Source organism: Homo sapiens, chromosome 15 (assembly GCF_000001405.40).
Source record: "Homo sapiens chromosome 15, GRCh38.p14 Primary Assembly".
Classification (NCBI taxonomy): domain Eukaryota; kingdom Metazoa; phylum Chordata; class Mammalia; order Primates; family Hominidae; genus Homo; species Homo sapiens.
The window spans coordinates 60,775,689-60,798,046 of record NC_000015.10 but is presented as its reverse complement, the minus strand read 5'-3'; the positions used below and the strand labels follow the sequence as shown (position 1 = coordinate 60,798,046).

General features: G+C 42.8%; 1 protein-coding gene across 2 annotated transcripts in view, besides 3 other annotated features; it reads left to right on the top strand.

Annotated features, from left to right (window-relative positions):
* Positions 1-22,358, top strand: part of RORA (RAR related orphan receptor A) — a 741,019-nt gene that overhangs the window by 431,256 nt on the left and 287,405 nt on the right. The window lies entirely within an intron of this gene.
* Positions 1,670-1,849: an enhancer, noted in NCBI's record as "active region_9517". NCBI's record gives its function as "activates an Ori minimal core promoter by ATAC-STARR-seq in GM12878 lymphoblastoid cells {active_cell/tissue: GM12878}" and the evidence as "EXISTENCE:reporter gene assay evidence [ECO:0000049][PMID:35858748]".
* Positions 8,855-9,355: an enhancer, noted in NCBI's record as "H3K4me1 hESC enhancer chr15:61080891-61081391 (GRCh37/hg19 assembly coordinates)". NCBI's record gives its function as "activates a minimal SCP1, AML or CMV promoter by ChIP-STARR-seq in primed H9 embryonic stem cells {active_cell/tissue: H9 hESC(primed)}" and the evidence as "EXISTENCE:reporter gene assay evidence [ECO:0000049][PMID:30033119]".
* Positions 9,356-9,856: an enhancer, noted in NCBI's record as "H3K4me1 hESC enhancer chr15:61080390-61080890 (GRCh37/hg19 assembly coordinates)". NCBI's record gives its function as "activates a minimal SCP1, AML or CMV promoter by ChIP-STARR-seq in primed H9 embryonic stem cells {active_cell/tissue: H9 hESC(primed)}" and the evidence as "EXISTENCE:reporter gene assay evidence [ECO:0000049][PMID:30033119]".

The window sequence follows — 22,358 nt, the reverse complement described above, 5'->3', positions numbered from 1 at the left end:
TGGATCAGATTACTTATCTTCCTGGTGGGTTGGGGCTGGTCTTGTGGCATAGCTGTAGGCCAGTGATGATCGTATTAATCTTCTACACATCTGGTTGATTTTAAAGCTTTCCGTGCACCACCCCAAAAGGTCAGCCTAACTCCTGGGAAAAGACTGGAACTTTTAGTTGAGCCAGTTTGTGTGAGCAAGTCCCTTCACCTGGCTAGCAGCCTCACCGGCCTCTTGTGGAGAAGGAAGTACCTAGCTGCTGAAGCTGGCAATTGCTCGATGAGCCCATCCAGATCTAGGGCTCCACTGCTGCTTCTTGTCAACCGCGTGCTGGTCTTGGTGGGAACCAGGGTGTGCTCACTACTTTATAAATGACACCGGTGTCCTTGGCTGGGCCCGTAAGGAGTTAATATCTCATAAGCAGAGTGCGAGAAGTCTTACATAACTCATTCAGTCTCATCTCATGGGTGTTTTTCTGTAAACTCTGCCAGAACTAATTTCACGGTTTTAAAACAACTCATGGTACCCAAAGAATGTGTAATGAGCTGCCATGAGATGTGATTGTTTCCTGTTTGTAAGGAAAAGACCTGTGGCTTCTTGGGACTTATTAGGAATCATTTCTCAATTAATGTACAACCCAGGCCCTTGGAAAGGCACACACAGTGCAGCAAAGATGGCTTTGGAAGGCTGTCCTGGACAGGAGCTCCAGAACTGTCCCTTCTCCCAGCCACCTCATTCCCACCTATGTATGGCTATCTTTTTTTTAATGGTATAATACACATAATGTACAACTTACCATTTTAATCATTTTTAAGTGTGCAATTCAGTAGCATTTAGGACAATCACAAAGTTATGCAACCATGACACTATCTAGTTCCAGGACATTTTAATTATCCCAAAAGGAAATCCCATTTCCCATTCCCTTCTGCCACTGGCAACCACTAATCTGCTTTCTGCCTCTGTGCAGAAATAATAATAATAATAATAAATATAATTAATAAATATATAGATAATATAATTATATATTATATAAATATATAAATAAAATATATTTAGACATAAATAATGATAAACCTACTCATGGTATTTGTATAAATGGAATAATATATTATGTGGCCTTTTGTGACTGGCTTCTTTCACTGAGCATAATATTTTCAAGGGTCATCCAGGATGTAGCCTGTATGGGTCCTTTATTCTTTTTTTTGTGGCTGAATAATATTCTTTTGTATGAATGTACCACATTTTGTCTATCGACTCATCAGTTGATGAGAAATTGAGGTTGTTTCTACCTTTTTCCAATTGTGAACGGTGCTGTTATGAAGATTTGCATACAAGTTTTTCTTTGAACACTTTCTTTGAGTTCTTTTGGGTATATACCTAGGAGTGAAATTGCTGGATTATATGATCATATGATAATTCTATGTTTGATTTATTGAGGGGCTACCAAATTGCTTTACATAGTGACAACGTTATATTCCAACCAGCATGTACACATAAGGTTTCCAGTTTCCTTACCAACACTTGTTATTTTATTTCTTTTTTTTTTTGGCGGGGGGTGGATAGCCATCCTAGTGGGTATAAAGTGGTATCTGTCTGATTTTCTTTCAGAGTAATTTGTTTTCCCAAATAGTTTAAAGATTTTCAGAGGTGAAAAGCTTATACCGACCTGGTCACTGCCATGGGCTGGCCCAGCCTGACCTGCTAGGTCTCATTACCTCTCCAAGTTTAGAATCAGGCTTCTCCATGTGGGGAAGTCAAAAGGGTGAGTGCCTGGAGAGTCGTGTGCATGGGGAAGCTCTTGAGCTCAAGCCTGTTCCAGCATACATTCTGTGTCTCCCAGCAGAGCTAGAATACCACCCTCACTGTGATACAGAGAGGCACTGAGAGCAGAGAGCCTGGTTCCCGCACCCAGGAGGAGACGTGGCAGAACCACAGCTAAGGCCTGTCTCACTCCTACTTCAGGCTTCTTTCAGTTCTGTCAAGAACCACACATTCACTTTGCACTTCCCTTTTTTGAGGATGCAAAGGTTAAGAAAATGTTATAATGATGATGGTTATATTTGCATAGGCTTTACACATTTTGATACCCACAATGATCCTGTAATGTAGGCAAGACATCAGGTAGTATGATCCCCATTTGAAAGCTGAAGAAACCGAGGCATGAGGCCTTTTGGGTAATTTCCCAAAGTTATCTCCATTACATTACTTTGTCTTATGTAATGTTTTATGGTGGTGCAGTGCCTTACAGTCTACAAGGCATGTCACATCTGGTAGGGATGGAGGTGAGGGGAGAATGGTGGGCTAGGTGAGGGGAGTTGCCATATATAGGGAGGCGCCATAAGGAAGGCCTCCTCTGATTGTCTGTGGTTGACAAATCAACCTGTTGTTTCTGCCTTACTCACCATGGAGGGAGGGAGGGCAGGAAGCTGTTTGAAGTTGTGATATTAGGAGATCAGTGGCTGTTTGAGATCCCTCCTTCATCATTGCATCATATTAGCTACCATATACCACCATGGTATCAAACTGTGCCTCAGCGAAATACAGTTTAAAGACTGAGCCTTCCCTCAGGGAGCTTCCAGTCTAAACAGTTGTCAAATTCTTAGCTCAAAAATACTCTCCCGGGGTTTGGCTGCCCTTTCCAACACAGTTTAGAGAAGAAGAATATAAAAGCAAATTCTACATCTCAAGCAGCCCATTTTGAGTTGGGGTTTTATTTGCTGCTGCTGCTCTTGTTGTTTCGTGGTGAGCACAGGAGTAAAGGTGAAGAGCTCCTGCCAGCCTACAGAAGGTGAATAGCCCATTTGAAACATTGACTTCGGGTTGCCATTTTGAATTCTCTCTATGGCTGTCTCCACCACCAACCACAAACTTCAGGTTGGTTCTTCAGAGGTAAGGACTCTTTTTCCCGGTTCCTGAGGTGGCATACATCTAGTGTGTGGGGATTTTGGATACCTGATATCACCCTATATGCATAGCAAAATGGTGATAGATTATAAATGCCAGTGCTTATGGTAGGTTTCTTGAGGTTTTTATGTAATTGAGAAGCAGTGGGAAGGGGTGTCGCATTTTAGCAACTAAGGTCCAGGATTTGTTTTGAAATGAACCCCTCTGAGGGCAGAATCTCAGCACCACCCATTTTCCACATTTGTGTGGTTGAAGGACAGAAAGTGGACAGGCAGAACTCCAGGCCTACGGTGCTTGTGAGCAGTGAGCCCTAGGATATGGGCGCATGAGGCACAGCACCCTTCTAAACAGAAAGCAAGTAAGGAAGCCAGGTGCTTTTTCTCTGCCTCTGGTTGAATGATAACTCCACCCTATCAGAATAGAAGTACTGTTATTCAACAAACAGTGGCCAATCGTTTAGAAATTAATGATTGCCATTTTGAACATGTATTGGATTTTGCTGTCGGAAACCTGCAGGCAGCTCATAGGGATATTGGGGACTCAGTTAGCTGGTGACGTCAGTGGAGGTTTGGATATCTAAAAGCAAGCTTTGGATATCTAAAAGCAAGCTTTGGCTCAGTGGTATGCACCCAGTATTTTTCCCTAGGACTTTATGGTCGTTTTTCTTCCAAAGGGCAGCATACACACAGGTGTAATGGTTCTCTGGTGACCATGTTCAAATCTATCTAAAAGCCATTTGAAAACACAGGTGATATGTATACTTCATTATGTGCTATAAGTTGGGTAATGGGAGCAAATTAAAAAAGGAAGATTAAACATGGAATATGTGTGCAGGAGGGAGAAAAGGTTTCTCAAGAACGCGGTGAAACAGCAGATTATTCAGCCTTTCTCTACTCTCTTCATTAAAGCAATAGTGTTGGGCTTTGAGATTTTCTGTTTTAGTCAGACCTTTATTTCATTTATGCCAGTATTTGTAAATAATTATATGAATGTGGCATTTTAAGTAGACCTGTTACCAAACAGCATGTTATTTGCAGTGACTGTTTTCTGGGGAAGAAAAGAAACAGTTGAACACACGGCACTCAGCAGAATTGTAAAAAGGCTGCCAAAGAAGGGACTGTATTTTTCTACCTTTTCCCTGTCACCTTGGAGAGCCAGCTGGGACCCAGGTCCTCAAAGAACCCGTTCTAGAGTGCACTGTCTGAGTCAGGAACTTCCCACTGCTTGCTTAATCCGGCAGAATCACAGAGGCACTGAGGCGGGAGAGAAAGCCTGCACGGCTCAAATGTCACAGAGCATCAGGACTGAGGAAGGCTACCCCAGGGCAGCCTCCCAGGATTTGGTGGCCAGTAAGCCTTGGAGTCTAGCCTGGCTTAAGTCCATCTCTGTGGCAAATCACCAGAAAGCTCTTTGAAGTTTCATAAATTCTCCCCCAAGTGAAACATGGACACACTGAATATTTAATTAACTGTTCCCAGTCCTTGGAGGCTCAAGGCTTCCTTACTCTCTGCTTCTCACACAGGCAAGACTTGTGCAGTGAACTTTCGCACTTGACTAAGCACATTCTGATATGGTTTAATGTAGTTCCTTGGTGTTTGAGATGACTTAAGAAACTGGCATCCAGCATCAATATATTGAAAATGTGAAAGGGAATCTGGCAGTTGGGATAATCAAACCACCTTACCTCTGTCTGCATTGGGCATTGCAGTTTGCAGAGCACATGTATTGTGGCTTACCTCATTTGATTACTTCAGCCATGGCAGCATATTTTTTTGTTGTTTTTAAGTGATGAGACTCCAAAGGATGTTGGTGTGTAAGACACTTCTAAGCCTTATTAGTTCTTGAATGAATTTTATGAGTTTGTCTGATCATGAAGACTAAGACTTAGTTACTGTAACCATAATAATAGTAAAAATTAAATGAAGACTACTCCTAACATACTGCACCAGTTTAGTCTGAATCACAGTATGTTCAGGCCAAAAGGAACTTTTGAGATCATTTACTCCACTTTTTCTTGTTATAAATGAAGAAACTAAAACACCAAGAAGTTAACTTTTTGCCCAAGGTCACACAGCTAGAAAATAAAATCAAGTTTTCTTTCTCTTTTTTTTTTTCTCTCTCTCTCTCTTTTGAGGGAGTGGTGGGGATGGGGAGGAAGGGAGCAGGAAAGACAGTATTTGTAGAATTTAGGGGTTTTGTGACAAAGAGGCAATGTGTCATTTACTATAGGGCAAAGTATGATTATATGGTATAAATTTGCTACCCACTGGAAAAATTAATAACTTCTTACATCTTTGAGAAAACATTTCCAGTGATCCTCACTCCTCCCTGTAGATCTGAGTTACCATTTGGTGTCATTTCCCTTAAGACTGCAGAACTTTCTTTTCCAGTTCTTTTAGTACAGATCTCTTGGCAATGAATCTCTCAGTTTATCCAAAAAGGACTTTATTTTCTCTTTATTCCTGAAGATACAATTCTGGGTTGACAATGTTTTTCAGTCTGTACCTTAAAGATGTTATTCCGTTGTCTTCTGGCCTTTGCTATTTGTGAGAGAAATAGCTATCATTCATATTGTTGTTTCTGCTGTAGGTCTCTGGCTGCTTTTTTGATGTTCTCTTTATCTTTCGACTTCAGAAAATTGACTGTGGTTTGTCTAGATATTGTTTTCTTTGTATTTGTCTTGCTTAGGATGTGCGGAGTTTCTTGAATCTATAAGTTGATGTCTTTAACCATACTTGTTAAATTTTCAGCCGTTCCTTCAAATATACTTTTTCTGCTTCATTCTCTCTCTACTGTTCTTCTGGAACTTGCTATTTCATATATGTATACTGTTTGATGGTTTATAATGCTCAAGTCACTGAGGCTCTGTTCACTCTTCTTCATTATTTTCTCTTTGTTCTTAAGATTGAATACTTTCTATTAATTCATCTTCAAGTCCATTGACTCTTTCCTGCCATCTCCAGTCTGCTGTTAAGCCCATACAGTAGTATTTTTTTTCATTATATTCATTCTACTTTTCAACTCTAGGATTTCTATCTGGTTCATTTTTATAGTTTCTGTTTCTCACTGAAGTCCCATATCTGTTCATTTATTATGTATATATTTCCTTCAATTTGTTGAACATATTTATAATGGCTTCTTTAAAGTACTTATCAGCTAAGGGCATTATCTGAGTATTCTTGGGGTTGGTTTTTATTACTGCTTTTTTTTTTCTTATGTGTTACATTTTACTCTTTATTTGCATGTATGGAGACTTTGGATTGGGTAATAGACAAAACAAATGATTGTTGCAGAGACCCTAGATTCTGTTTGTTTCTCTGAAAATAATTTTTGCTTTAGCAACCACTCGACTTGCCTGGACTCAAATTCCAGCTCTGTTGTTCCTGCGGTCGACAGCAGATAAAGTCACTTTTCTGTTCTTTTAGCTTCCAGCTGCTTCTTCGTATTGGGTCCCTTGGAGTCTCCCTCATGCACATATATTTTTGCAGCCAGCCGAGGATTGGGCAGATTTTGTACATAGATTTTGCAGCTTGCTGCCTCTGCAGTTCCCACCTTTCCAGAATTTCTCCCCTTATGTTCTTGTTCCTTTTCTGACTTATTTCTCTGACAGTTCAAGCTATCCAGAGCTGAAAGCTAACTTGGGAGTGCTCCCAGACAAAACCCCACAAATTCATAAATTTTACTTGGTGAAGGTTCATGTTTCAGGGGACAGACTCCCTTCCAGTTCCTGTTGGACTTTTGACTGCATTCCATTGCCTTGAAAATGGTTTTTAAAAATTATTGTGTGTAGATAACTTAACTGTTATCTGTAAGGGGTTAGTAGATTATGACCAAAAGCCAATAGCCCTTACATTTATATTTAGATATTTCAAAACACTTTGTCTCCGTTAACACAGCTCTGGGAGGCAGAACTAATATTATCAAGTCTATATCACAGATGAGATGACCTAGGGAAGTTAAGTGACTTGCCCAAGTAGTAACTGAATCAGGCCTGAACTCAGAGCCCATGACATCAGCCTGGGCTCGTTCTACAATCAGTTTTATGTACGTTTGATTCTAAAAGAGCCAGACTTTTTGATACCAAAGCATCTATTGCATTTTCTTCCCAATAAACACCACCAAACAAGCAAAAGACAATGAAACAATAGACAGTCCTGGATTTTGAAGCTTTTTGGGGGGGCAATGGGGGGGCGTTTCTAGGGCCTCTGAAGGTCATAGACATTTCTGAAGAGAAAAACGTTACCATGATGGTGTTGAAAGGAAAATACCTGTGGTAACCCTGGAACCATCTGGTACCTACAAGCCCCAGCATGCATAATTGTGAAATTGAAGCTAGGCCAGAAGTTTTCTTCATGAGAAGCCATATATAACCAGGACAAGAGCGCTGTGCATTACATATCCAGGAGCTACCTCTTGAAATTCTTAACATAGCAAAGCAGAATACTCAGCCAGCATTGGCCCCTGTGGTAGGAGAAGGTCTTCAGCTCCTCTCCTTCATGGGGGACTCAGTTGAAAACATCTGCAGGTTGAAAGTCACACAAAGACGAGGAATGTTCTCAAACTGGTGGCTTGCCTAGGCACTTTAAAATATGTATACAGCCTTCTTACTCATCAGGTTCTAGACTTGCAGTTTCCATTCTCTGTCAGTCCCCAGTCTTCCTGAGGCCATGGTGCCACACCATGTTAAAGTCACATCCCAGCTTCTTGAAGGAAATACAGCTTTCCACTAGCCTCTCCATCAGCGCTCACCCAATTAATTCTCCTGGTGCACTTCCCTTCAACATCAACATTTGTAGTTGAGTTAAGGTTTCTCAAAGTGTAGTCTTCGAAAACCTGCACCAAGATTGTGAGTGGACACATTTAAAATACAAATTCTCAGGCTCCACTCCAATTATACAGACATGAGAAATTCGACTCTCTGGTTTGCAGGTCAGAGAATCTGCCATGGAATAAGTGAGTCAGGTGATTTAGATGCTCACAAAAGTGGAAGAACCACTGGTCTGGGTGAAATTATGAGTGCTAAGACCTCTAAAGTCTAAAGACTTAACCTGTGTGAGCCACTTGTCTTTTCACTTGGGGTATTGCTTCTTTTTCTCTTGGGTCATAGGTTCTCAGATGGAGGAAGGTGAGTCTTGGAAATCAATTCTGGCTTCAACACTTATCGGTTGTATCATCTATAGGCTGCTGTGCTGCTTAGAGGAGAATATCCTTCCCAAAGTTATTTGGCTGTGCCTATCACAGACTGGGCACCCCAAAGTAGTTCCTTTTTCTTTATTCATTTAATTCATGCTGCCTATATTTATTGAATGCTTGTTACAAGCAAGGAATTGCACTCAAGAGACCAGAAGTAGACCCACTTCAAAGCTGATAAAACTTAAACTTCAGGACCCTTCATTTGCACCGGCCTCTCCTAAAGCCCTGAGAATGCCCCTAGTAATTTATTTTCATGGTTATAGGTTTCTGTAATATTTGCAAAAGTTAGATATTTTACAATTCTTTCTTCTTAAAGAAAATCCCCTAACTTGCTTAAACTTCAGCTGCCCCAAACCTAGATCTGTCCCTGAAAGAGCTCACAACAAGTGGGATAAAGAAACATACATATAGATTATCAAGAAACGGTATGGATAGTCGGTGCAATGCAGACCCAGTGCTGGGAATTCTGGCAACACATTTGTAAGGAAGCAGGGTGTCCAGGGAAGTCTTCCTGGAAGAGGTGGTGCTTGAGTTTGGCCATGGAATAGAAGGAAGACTCTTCTAGAGAAACAGCTTGAGCAAAGTTACAGAAGCAAGATATATTAAGTGTTTGTGTATGTGATTAAAATACTTTGCTGTTTGAGGGCATTTTCCTTCGGGCTGGGATGGCCTCTGATGCCAGGATGAAGAGAGTCCTTTTCCAGGGAGCAGTATGGACTGTGGGGCTGTGTTCCTTGGGAACACCTGATCCTTGGGATCCTGGCCTCAGCTGGCTCCTCTGTTTGGCCTTTGGGAGGCCTACTGGTGACAACATCAATAATTGTTCTTCAAGGAAAAATCACTCTTCTATTCCTTGCTTCTTCTCCCATAGCCCTCCAACCCTTCTTTACTGTCAGCCTTGCAAATCAATATTTCATTTTGAAGAGCCTTGTTTGATGCCAGTTCTGCTTATTTGCTTCGCAGCCACTGTGGGTAACGCTTTGTAGGTCTGTCAGTATGTAAATTAAACCAAGCATAGATAGCTTTGTGTTGCTTAATGTTCAGCTGATAAAAATTAATGTGGTGTGAAATGAGCATTTTATCTGACTGCAGATACAGTGACGGAGTTAATTAGACAGGCAGAGAGAAAATGTTATTAAGCGGGACAGGGGCTTTCTCATGGAAGGGGGCTCTGACCCTCAGACAGCAGGTTTGGATGGGCCGTGGGTGTGGCTGAGGTACCTGGGCTGAGGCCAGCTTGGAGCAATGAGGCAGGGAGGGTGCCTTCTTTAAGCAATCAGCCCCGTGGTGCTGATGACTGTGTGGATCCTGCCTGGGGAGGAAAGGAGGGAGGCACAGGCCAAGCTAGGCCAGGCACTTCCAGCTCACTGCAAAATGCATGCGTCAGCATTTGCTGAGGCGGCTTCTTCTTGGTGCAGCAACACCGTGATTAGTAGAGAAAGGAGTTTCGTTCTTAAGCAAGAAAAAGAAAGATGATAGGTCAAGCACACGTCACATAGCAGTCAATCGAGGGGAGTTTGGAACCCTTAACTTCCCACTAAAATGTCTTGAGCTGTGCGTTCCTGGCCTTTGCACACACTGTTCCCTCTAATGGGAAAGCATTCCCCACCCCACCAGCCATGAACTTAGCACATTCTATTGCAATCATCTGTCTCCCCACTCGACTGTGTGCTCCTTGAGGTCAGAGATGTGTCTTGTGCATCATCAGGGACCCTGGTGCAACAACATGTTCTTCATAAATGTCAGTGGAGTGGATGAATGCACATGATGCTCACTCAGCCCGGAAATTTCAGCCTACCCCTGCTTTCAGCATCCTTCCTGTCTCGGCTCAAATGTCACATCCCCACCGAAGCTTCTTCTGCCTCTCAGACATGATCAGCTCCCCAGATAGATACTTTTCAGACACCTTGTACTTCTCCTTCATAGACCTCTCCAAGTTTGTGATTCACTATTTGTGTGCCTATCACTGCCACCAGACTTAGCTCCATGAGGGTAGGAACTGGGCTGTTTCACCCACTGCAGTATCCCCAGCAGCCACAAGGGTGCCCAGCACAATCAATACTTCTTAAGTATTTGTTGAATGTTAATACATGAATGAATGGTTTTTCTGATGCCTGATGAACTTCCACTCTTTCCTCAATGCCTTGTTTGGGGAAGGTTTCCTAGGCTCTTCCCACAGAGTTTCTCCTTCCCTGAAGTTCTCATAGCACCTTGTAGATTGCAGTGATAGGCTTGCCAAAAGGCAGCTGTAAATTTTGGGTTATATCCTCTCCTAGCCAATTAGGAAAGATCTCCTTGAAAGCAGTCAAGGTGCCTTATTCAGCTTTGCATTTTCAGTATCTCTCACAGGGCCTGGCCTTTATAAGTGCTCAGTATGGGTTGCAGAATTTGTAAGAACAATTGTATGTATCCCTTGGTTAGTTAAGCTGTATTTCTGTTAGATAAGCAAATTCTTAGCCCACTAACGTATGCTGTCCCCACTCCACCCCTTGCAGAGGAACACTCAGAAAAGATGACTGGTTGTGGCCATCCCTCCACCTTGACCGCAGTTGCAGGGGAAATGTTGTGAAGAAATGCCACAGTTAGTGGCTCCTTCGTGATTGCTGCTAGCATTCGAGGCGGGTACAACCTTTCCAAACAAACAAGAAAGGGACTGTTGCATTGTTGAATCGCGTGCATGCCTGCCACATCTGTCCCTCAGCCAGCCCAGCATCCTTGAGCTCGCAGGCTTGGTGGCAGCTGCTTGAGCAGTAACAGGGCCTTCTGTTCTGTTGGCCCCATGGCGCTCCCCAGCATTTCTCTTGAGTTTTCCTGTTAGATCTCTTTCCATGGACTACACCTTTGCAGCATTAAATGACTTGCTGTAGATTTGCTTATTAACCTCTCTGTTTCTCATTTGTAAAATGGGATGACATTCTCAGAGCTATAGACTGAAAGTCTTAGGTATCTTCACAAAACACTGACAAGATTCCACTCACACACCACCCCATGGTTCCTGAGACACTGACCCTGAGAAAAGCCATGGTTCTCACTCTGTGATCATTCGTCTGCTCCACACCTCCGCTGGGAAGGTTGCTAAATGCCTATCACGAGCTGAGACTCCAGAAAGACTTTACCTGCACTCGCACAGCTGTTGCTGAGTGAGGTGTGGATCCAGTCGGGTGAGCATCAGGGAGGGAGGAGGCCTCCTGTTTGTTTGCCAGTCCCAGGCAAGACAGGGCCCAAGGACCACTGGAGGAATGACAGACCTCAGGGCAGATGGGCAGTGTGTTTTGCAGCAGGATCTGGCCCTTTGCTCCTTTCCCCTGGGTCTCTGTGCATCACGAAGCTGCTCAGTAGCCCTATTTCAGGGAGGCCACGTGATCCACTGTCAACCCTGGCTGGCCCTGGTGGCAGAAGGTTGGTGTCCTTTAGCTCTCTAGAGTAGCCCCATCTCTGTCTTCCCACCTGCCTGGACTGTGCCCCCAACTTGGCCCAGCCCACTCCTGCTGTGCAAGGTGCATCTCACAAAGAGAGTAGCTTCCATCGTGTTTCTCTAGCGAGGCTCAAGACTCTTTGTAGAGTTGGTTAAGGAGGTGGATACTTTTAGGTAAAAGGTATTAGTAATATTTATCTTTTTGAGGCATTTTTGTTTCTGTTATCTTGTTTTATCCCCTGACCTTTCAACAAGGAGCACACTGATATTGTCACCATTTGATCAATGGGGAAATGGAGGGACAGATGTATTTAGTGGCTTGTCCAAGGTAGAACATCCTATCCAGAGCACTCCTGTACACTGATACAGCCCAACTCTCAACCGTAGTGATGTCGTGTATGTATAAACATGACATCTACAGCTGATGAAGCCCCCAGAGGCCTGGAACCATGTCTTTTGGCGTATTCCACAGGGTTCCTTGCAAAGGCAAGTCTTTAATAAAAGATTTTGGTGAAGTTATTTGTCAGGGATCCATTCATTCCATTCATTTAGTGCCTAACAAATAGTTATACTGAGTACCAACCTTGTGAGGTGCCAGAGATGAGATGGAGAACAGAGACACAGGCCCTGTTGTGCGGAGCATACAGTCTTCTGCAGGAGACAGAGCTTGTCAGATTGCCACCAAATCAATGTAAAACAACAACAGTGACAAACGCAATGAAGGATTTGTCCCCTGGAAATACTTTAGCCTCAATATGGAGGGGAGGAATGCTTCCCCGAGGAAGCGATGATCGGAAACATGAATAGGACTGAACCAGACAAAGGGAGTGTGATATGCAAAGGTCCTGTGGATAGAGGAAGGATTATGTATTTGAGGAACTGGGTGAAGGCTACCGAGGCTGCAGCCCTGAAACGTGAGGAAGCATGATGTGAGATGTAGCTAGCTGGAGGGACAGACGAGAGACCTGACTTGAGCTTCCTGAGCTACTGCTTGCAGAACACCTGACATTTCCTTGTGCCACATTCATTTGTAGATGAATCTGTTCAAAAGAATGCATGAGATTGTCCTGGCAGTTACAACTCTCTCTTTTCCTTTTTATGCCTCACTTACTAGCAATTAAAATTGAGATCCCTTCTCTGTTTACCTATTCATTTATTTAAAATGTTTATCACTGGAAAGGGGATGCTGAAAGTTTCTCCTTCTTTGTTTCCATCAGTGACCTCAGGAAGAAAGTTTCAAACCCACACAAGTCTGCCTCCTGGTAGACCATCTGAGGGCATGGATCAAGCCTGTTAGAAAGATGCTCACTGATGTTTACTTTTCGAGTGCATGAAACCAGACACTGAAACTGTTCATTAAAAATTCCTATGTTCACAGACAAAGAAAAATCATTTCAGAAGCTCTGTAATGAATGTACAAGTGGGTACAGGTTATCTTGTCAAACACAATAATCGTGAGTAAATGCAAACGGATGCTGCTTGTATTTGATTTTGTCTTTAATTGAAGCATGCTGACAGCTGCCTCTGGACTTCCACATCCTTGGGTTGGGGGATCTGGCTTTTTGCTTTGTAATTTCCTCTCGCCAGGGCTGGGACAGGGGTGACATCTAAATATGAGAAGCATCTGGTCAGGGAATAAAATGGAGAGAAATGAATGAAATTAACATGTATGTATAGGCACTTTCACATGACCCTTCACACAAGGACACAGCTAGGATACTGGTGAAGGGCATAGGCGACATTTCTACTTTATAGAGGTTAGGTTGGTTTTCTACTTTAAAGAAAAGAAATTAGTATGAGAGAGAGTCACTGCTCAAGTCATACAGCTGTTAAATAGCAGAACCAGGATGCTAATTAGGTCTTCTGAACCAACACTGAAAGCTTTCTCTTCAATTTTACAGCTGTTCTTTGCATTTCACCCATATTGTACATCCAACTATGGATTCAGTCTAACAACAGTACACTCAGTGCTGGGCTAGTCACCAGAAACAGAAGGGTGAATCAGGCAGTGGTTCCTGGGCAAAGATGCTCACAGCCAGGTAGGGTAGACAGACAGACACAGTGATGGAATCAAAGCTCTATAATGGTTGTGCAGCACAGTTTGAAATGCCAGCAGGACCAGAACTTTTTGCCACACAGTTTGGAGTGACCCAATTGGAATGTCCAGAATCTCCATCTCCCCCATTGAATGGAAGATCCAAGGTTAATGTGCTTAATGAAGCAGTATGATTTCAGTAACATTTGGGGAGGCCAATACAGGGTCCCTATATTTTACTGCAAAGGAATAACATGAACAACAACAACAACAAAATAACTCCATCTATTTTTTGTCATCTTTCCCCTAAAAAGTGGACTTTGGGGACTGAAAAAATAGAAAGGACATTATCTTAGAGTAAGGAATAATTCTCTCCTTTGAATATATTTAGCTTCGTGGAAACTTATTATGTTATCCTTATTTTCCCCAGTTAGATACAGACCAGTGAGAACCAAAGCATGGGCCTGCCCATACTGTTTACTGACCAGCATGTGGAAGCCGTTGATGTAAAGGAGGGATGGCTCCCCTAGGTTTGACCAGAAATCATTGTGTTAAACTAATTGTGGGAATGGTTTATTATCATGCGTACAAATTCTCTTCTTTGCCAGTCTTGAAAAGATGATTAGCCACATGGATCTGGGTTTCCTTCATTTCAGGGTGGCTAACAGACAGGTTGTTGATCTGAAAGGTTCTGAAACCCTGGCATTTAAAGTTTTCTCAGGCCCTTACTGGAGGTACTTCCAGGACCTGAATGGATGTGAGCTCATGTGGCTAGTATGAGGAGAGTGGGGCCCCATTTTAGCACCTTTCAAAGTCATCCCATGTGGGAAAATGGAAGAGGTCCTCTGCAAAGGTGAGACTCAAAGGCCAAGGACCTGACTTAGACCAGAGACTCAAGGATGCGACGTTTTAAGCCTTCTTCCTGTATCCAGCGTGATCTTGGTGACCCTCTGTATTTCATTATTTTCATTTTCAAAATCCTTAATAAAAGCCCCTTTGTGTTTTAAGTGTTCTCACCACAAAAAATACTGTTTGGGAGGTAATGCATATGTGAATTAGCTCAATTTAGCCATTTCATAATGTTTACATATTGCAAAACATTGTGTAGCACACAATAAATACATATAATTTTTGTCAATAAAATTTAATTAATTTTTAAATAGAAAAGAAATAAACACCCCTTTGCAGAGATGAGGTGGACAAGAAAACAGCTGTTTTAAGGGCCTCCTAGTACAGTCTGTACAAAAGCCTTTATTTCTTTGGTATATTAAAAAAAAGATAAAAACATTCAAGTAAATCCTCTGATTCCAGTGACATTAGATCTTACATGCACCCCCTTTGTATTTGCAGTTTGATTTCTTTTTTTTACTATTCCATTATCAATATACCAGAATTTGCTAAGCCATCCCCCATTATTGAACATTAGGCTCCTTCTGGAATTTTGTGTGTATGTCTGTGATTAGATTTGATCATTAAAGGCAGTAGTACAATTTGTGTAGTATTTTGCTTCTGTCAGATTATTTCCTTAGCGTATAGTCCCAGAGAAGGCTGCTGGGTCGGGATATGCACATCTTTATAATTTTGGTTACCAATTGCCATATTTCTTTCAAGAAGAATTATGCTGGTTTAACTCAATGCCTATAGCATTTGAGTCTATCAGTTTCCATGCAGCTTGGCCAGCATTAGGGTATTATTTCCGAAAACTGAAATGTTACCTTTTCAAAGTTGCTTTAATTTGCATTTTTTATTACTAGCAGGGATGAACATTTTCCCACATGTTCACTTATCTCTTACTACTCATTAAAAATGTTTTAGGGCCACATTTGAGAGAGGGGTTGTCTTCGGGAAACTTTGCTTCTCATAGAGGGAGGGGCAGATGGCAGCTGTGGAAGAGTCTCCATGAATAAAACTTCAACTGATTTCTGTGATATGGAGTGACTTCATATCATATGACCGCCTTTGCAGTTAAAAAAATGAAAAGATGGTTGTAATTCTTGTGGCCAAGAGAAACGGACTTACCAAAATAAAGATCGTGAAAGGAGAACATATTTGTTTATTCTGCTGTCCTTATTGAAAAGTTTCCAGAAGTATCTACAATGCCGTCAATCTCAGGTCTTTCCATCTTTCCAGTTGTGTACTTTAACACTTTCAAAGCAAAAGAGTGGTTGCAAAAGCTATATGGTACACTTCCTTAGCTGTATTTGTGCATTAATTTTCACGTGCTCTTAATCATTGGTCTTCTGAAAACAGTCGTGCAACGGGCATTTCTTTTTTTTTCTTTTTTTGCTGAGTTGGAGTCTCACTCTGTCGCCAGTCTGGAGTGCAGTGGCGCGATCTCAGCTCACTGCAACCTCCGCCTCCCAGGTTCAAGCAATTCTTCTGCCTCAGCCTCCCAAGTAGCTGGGACTACAGGTGCCTGCCACCACGCCTGACTAATTTCTGTATTTTTAGTAGAGACGGGGTTTCACCATTTTGGCCAGGATGGTCTCTATCTCTTGACCTCGTGATCCGCCCTCGTCGGCCTCCCAGAGTGCTGGGATTACAGGCGTGAACCGCCGTACCCGGCCTGGGACATTTCTTAAAGCTAAATAAGCCCACTGCCTGAAAGGGGCTGAGTCCAGTTCACGCTGCTGGGCTCCCCACCCACAGCTGCCCAGACTCCAAAATCTGGGATTTGAAGATTGTAGAACAAAGTGGGAAACAAACTAAATGGGAAACAAACAGTTCCAGACTCTCAAACTCTGGAGGATGTCAGAGTCTGTTTTCTTAACATTATACTAATAATGCCTTTCCTGCTCCCCCGTTGCCCGCCCCCTACCCCCCACCCCAGGGAGGCACTCAGCCCAGGGGTTATATAACTGTGACTTGACACCACAGCCAAGTTAAGGGAGCTTGCACTCGGCTCACTGAACTGTGGCAAAGCGTGCGTTCTCCGTCCCTGCACTTGCCCGTGGAGCAGCACGGTTAGGGGATAAATAGATGACTTGGAGTTACAGATCAGCTGCGCTTAACTCTGTGGGCTGGCTGGGTCCCCTCCGTGCTGCTGAAACACTGGTAAGCAGGCCAGGCAGAGTCCTGCCCCGGGAACTGGAATGAATGACTCTCAGGTACCAAATTAAGCCCCAGCACGAGGACTCTGGGCTGGTTATGTTTTCCTTCCTCGCTTATGTGTGTGGCCTCAAAGGCACTGCTAACCATAAAGCATGCAAGTTCAAGGGGAAGGGGATTCCTCAACACCAACCCTGAAAGCTGCGGGCACCAGAGATGAGTTTGTTCTCACCTGGAGCAGCAGTGACTTAACAAGAGACAAGGATAGGCTCAGTCGTCCCCACTCCACCCTAGCACGACCAGCCAGCCTCAGCATACCTTCTATGCACTTAAGAAGCAGAAGGAGGCGGATGTATATGTTTGATCTACTGAGTCCAAAAGATGCAGCTCTCCTTTTTACAGGTTTTGTTACCTTCAAGAAGTTACTGAAGTCCTCTAAGTCTTAGTTCCCCATCTGTGAAATGGGGATAATAATAGAATCCACCTACTAAAGTTACTGTGAAGACAAAATGAGATATGGAACAAAAAGCACTTGGAAGATTGCATGACCCCTGGTAAGAGGCAAGTAAAAATCAGCTTTTATCAGAGTGCTTTTTCTCTTTGGTTGTCCCTTCCCTTGCTAGAATGGGTGACACTAGCATGTAGGGACCGTGTCTGCCTCACCCTGGCACTGCTAGATTCATGCATAGTTCCTGAAACACAATAGACCCTCAATAAATTTTACGACTACATGGCTACACGGATGTGGATTGCAGATGGAGAAGTGTGGTTTTTGTTTTGTTGTTTTAATCATTTTTCATTTTCAGTTATTTTACGGTCATAGAATCCCTCATTGTGCTCATCTATCAAGCAAATTGTTTCTTTTGAGTCCATTTAAATGAAAAAAAGAATGAAAGAGTTCTTGTTTTTAAATAGTTTCTCACATGAAACATCAAATAAAACTACATTATTAATTGAACACTGATGCTAGTTGGAAGCTATTAGGCGAGGAGAAGCTCGCCTGATTCTTTTTAAAGGAACTTCCCTCTTGAATGTTCTCTGACAGGTCATGTATCTTACATGCGGATGTTCACTGTCTACACTGGGCTCTCTAGACCAGCCCAGTGGTTCCCAGGCCTGTCTGCACATCACCAGTCCATGTGGAACTTTTTTAAAAAATACTCCCGCATAGGCCCTAGTTCCAGAGAAGCAAATGCAGTAGAACTGAATTGGACATAAGAGTCTCCAAAAGTTCTCCAGATGGTTTTGATAAGCAGCCAGGGTAGAGATCCACTAGGCCAAACTTTTCCACTCCCAGCGTGGCAAAAAAGAAAGAAAATTCTCTCCCTCTATTTATCTTTAATTTCTCATATTCATTACAGCTCAGCTAAAACTCCTCCTCCCCACCCTCTCCCCACCTAACAGACACATGTCACATGTATTCTGTGAAGTATGAGTATTTTTTCTTCTTACTTCCATGAGATGTATAAAGATTTGCTGAAAACCCCCAAGTGCTTTGGAAAACACATATCCAAATGAGGAAATGTGTTTCTGATGAGGGAAGGCTGAAATCTGAGTGTCTCCACCCTTCGAGTTGAGGCAAACCTCCTTGGTGCATATGAGCCACAAAGATCATTCCTCCCAGGCCTCAGTTGACTGATCATGATGTTTTAGTCAATGGAAAGAATATCAGTGCTTATCAGTTTACAGCAATTCCTGGGGAAATGTAGAACCATGTTAAGTTTGTTGGAAGCTTCATTGCTAGGACTGTCTTGAGAAAAACCTTGTAGAGTTTCCTGCAAAGTGACCACCAGCTTGACTTTTGTAGAAGAAGTGTGGATTACTAACATTAGCCAACAGGTTCATATAGTGAAAGGCTGCAAGATGTGTTGGCCTGTTAACCTATCTGTTTACTTACTTGTGCCAAACAGCATTTCCCCTTCTATGGTGCTTCCTGCTCCTATTACATCTTCCACAGCAGCAGGTGCAGTGAGCAGCCTGGATTGCAAATGACTTCGATGGCAGGGCTGGGCCGGTAAAACCCAAGCCTCCATTCAGGGAGTCTTATGGAGAGATGCATTAGACTGCCCTGGGCATTTAAATGGACCATTGGTGAGCCTTTGATCTGAACTCCTTGTGGTTGTGTTGGAGGAAGGCAATTCTTTCTGGCCAGAAAACTGAGGATGCAAAAAGATAAGAGTTGGGCCAACCTGGGAGAGGCCACTCGGATCACTCCAGGGAGACAACGAGCCTTGGGTTCCTAGGACGGGTTTTCATTAATTTTTGTGAATGAGAAAAGTCTGATGAGCCTTCACTTTGCACAGCAATCCAAATTGCTTGTGCCTTACTGACTAGAAGTCCAATTTAGGCTTGAAACGAGTTATTTATGCTCGCTACCTAAACATTCTCGTCTATAAAATGGGAGTAATTCATACCTCACACAGTGTTGGGAGGAGGAATTGATTAATTAATGTTTACAATCCACTTTGAACTTGAAAAGGCTTCTTGGGAAGTTATTATTAAGCCTATATCATTTTTACTTTGAGTTCTGGGGTGTGTCTAAACCTGAAACTCAAAGGAAACCTCACAGTCCGTCCCACTCCCTCACCCTGAAGGAAGATAAAATGTAATCAGATTAATGCAAATTCCCTGAAAATGGTTACCCTTTAACCAGTAGACACTGTGCTCTTATAAGGCTCTCCAGGGATCCTGACTCAAAAGGGAAAGAGAAAAACAGTAACTATCTTCCATGCAAAGAAGCAGGAAGCAGTTCTTTGAACTGGGAAGGGGTAAGGGTGGGAGAATTCTGTTTTTCGCTAAAGGGAGCTGTCAGTTCTCAAAACACTTAGTTCCTGACCCCCTACCTTCAAGGCCCCGAGAAAGCCAAACAGAGAATCTGACAGCCAGAAAAATTTGTACATAAGGCATTAAAGAATACTCAATATACTTTAATTTCTAGCCCTGCTAATCCATCCTGTTGTCAACAGCAAAACAATCAAATACAGCCAGTTGTCTGCACCGAGGTAACTGGGCTGTAGTATGGGGTTAGGTTTGCCACATAACCTAAGGTAATGCATGGCAGAGGGCACTTTAAGGGGCAACGGCTCTTTGGAACTCAGTGGGGGGTGCCCTTTCGTTAGAACAGGGAAAGAAAGGCAGGTCCTTTTGCATGGGAAAAAAAAAATCACAATAACCTAATCCCTTTAGAGAGCCATCAGACCCGTAAAGATTAAAAAACAAACAAACAAACAAACAAACAAAAACAAAAACCTGAGCCCAGCTGTTCAGTAAGCCACATCAGAAATTATGAAGCACATTGATCCCTCAGCACTGAGCATTGGATAATTGTTTCTTGCTGAAGAAACAGCTACCTGTGATATGTATCAATACCAAGCCTGCGCAGTTGTGTTACATTTTTCTTGCCGGAGGCTATAGCTTGAGTTTTAAGTCAATTGAGTCTATACACTAGAAGCTCATATTGACTATTGGATTAAACAGCACGTCAATTTATTTTTCTGGGTTCGATATTCAAGGATGCAAGAGAGCAAAGAGATCCTCCAGATGTGCTTTTGTGAGGCAACCGTAACCCACTTACATTGCTGTGATGCTTTTTAAGCCATTTGAAATAGTATTTGCACACCCCTTGCTCAGCAGTTCAATACGCTCCTCGACTATGGGTATTTTACTCATTCCCTGTGCTGCCGAGATTGCGGTTTGATTCTCGGTTCTCCAAAGTGGTTACTAGAGGTGAGCACCTGGACTCTGCTGCATGAGGGGACTCTTTCGACTTCACCTCTTAGAGTAAATGCCTACCGTGCTGAATAAGGATGTTAAAATGAAGGTGTAATCCATCTGGGGACTGCAGCCCACAGTGATAGGGGGCTGGGCATGCAATCTTAATTTCTCTCGCAGAAATGATCACATTTAGGTAGTAGGCTATTTTAGCATCTTAATATCAGGTGGGACTAGGTAAGATTATGCCATTTTAGAGATAGAAGTGATGAAATGAGCACACATTAAATATTTGAGTTGAATCAAACTTAACTGGAAAAACTGAGGCCCAGAGAGGCAAGGTGATTTGCCTAAGGTCACACAGATTTATGCAAAGCTGGGACTGTAACCAGGGTCTCGTGATATCTAGGCTATCAATTTTCCATGATACCATGAGGCTGCTCGTTGTGATTTCTCCGTATCCGTGTTTCTTCCTGAGCTAATGTTCCGGGTCTTATTTTGTTTTGTATTCAGCTTTTCACTTAACTAATTGGAATATACTTTGTTAGAGAAGACTAAAGTGTGAACATTCTTATGCTTTGTTTCTGCATAGTTATTTTGGCTCTGTTTTTGCTCGTCTTAAAGGGCTCCTGGTGTTTTAGAGTATGGGACAGCTTGTAAGGAGTAATAACATTCATTCATTTATTTAGTAAATATTTATTCAGCACCTATTATTAACTAGGCACTACTCCAGGTACTAGAGATATATCAATGAAGATAAACAGACAAATACTCATGTCTTGGAGGAGCATATATTTCTGCAGAGAGAAGACAGACAATTAGCAGTAAATACAAGAAATAAATAAATTGTATAGTGGTACAAGGTGATAAGTGCTAAGGGAAGGAGGAAAAATAGGGCAAGGAAAAAGGGAGGCAGGTTGCAGGTTTAAACAGAATGGTAAGGATAGGACTGCATAAATCCAAAGACGGTAATTGCACTGTTACTGATGCCATGTCTAGACAGTCCTTGGTTTAGAGAAAGATTTAAGGACTCTTTACAAGAACTCCACTCCCCTAACCAGACCTGGACCCCAAACCCTGGGGACCCCATACCTTGTCTTTACCTTTTACAGCCACGGCTCAATTGCAAGCTTCTTACCCTTTTAGTGCAGGATCTACGCTCTGCTGTGCCTATCTCAGTTTGGTTTGCATAATTTAAAAGGAGCAGAAGAGCACGTGTACTTAAAGAAAGCCTGGTTGTGAAGTCTCTGATGCTCCTTCCTTTCTTTCTCCCCAGCACCCAGCTCTCTGTAGGTGCTCACTAGCCTCCCAGGCCTTTGCTCCCCAGCAGGCAGCCTTTTGCGTCTTTAAATGCCTGGACAGAGTTCCGCCTGTTTTATTTCCCTCCTCTCCTGAAGACCTTGCCAGATTACCTAGCCATCTGACAAACTAGTCCAAGATGAAGGGGAAGGGGCTCAAGAATGGGAAGAGTGAGGTGGGAACCACAGAAGATTCAGTCTGAAGTGTGTCTAATAAGAGTGGCGGGGAGAGAAAGGGAGTAGGAGTTGGGACGAGGCCTGCTCCTGCAAGCTGGTCATGAGTGCCTTCATCTCAAGCTGGTTGGTCATCACAATATCGTGGGTGCTGTCTACACTCAATTCTAGCCGAGCCAGCAAAATACCTTCCCTTCAACAAAGTTTCAGGTTCCCATCGAATTACCGATAAGGACTAAGCCACAGAATTGGAGGTTGAACTAGTTCACACACAGTTATTGCTGACTTCTGCACATCTGACGCCTCCTCTGGCACTTAGGGATGGAGGAGATGGAGTCAAAGGGTAGAAGGAGTCGAAGCCCCAGGTAGGAGATGTTTTTCCCCTGCCGCATTGTATTCCATAATGACCCAGCCATGAAAGGACGGGGTGCTTCACAAGACAATTCTTCTATGTCAGTAATTTTAAACCTAAAGAGGTTTGATGTCCCATAAGCATATTCATCTTTCCATGTTTATTAAATTAAGCCCTCCGTGAATCTGCAACACCATACTGTTCATTAATAGGAAAAGAGACCGTTGTTTCCCCCCAGGG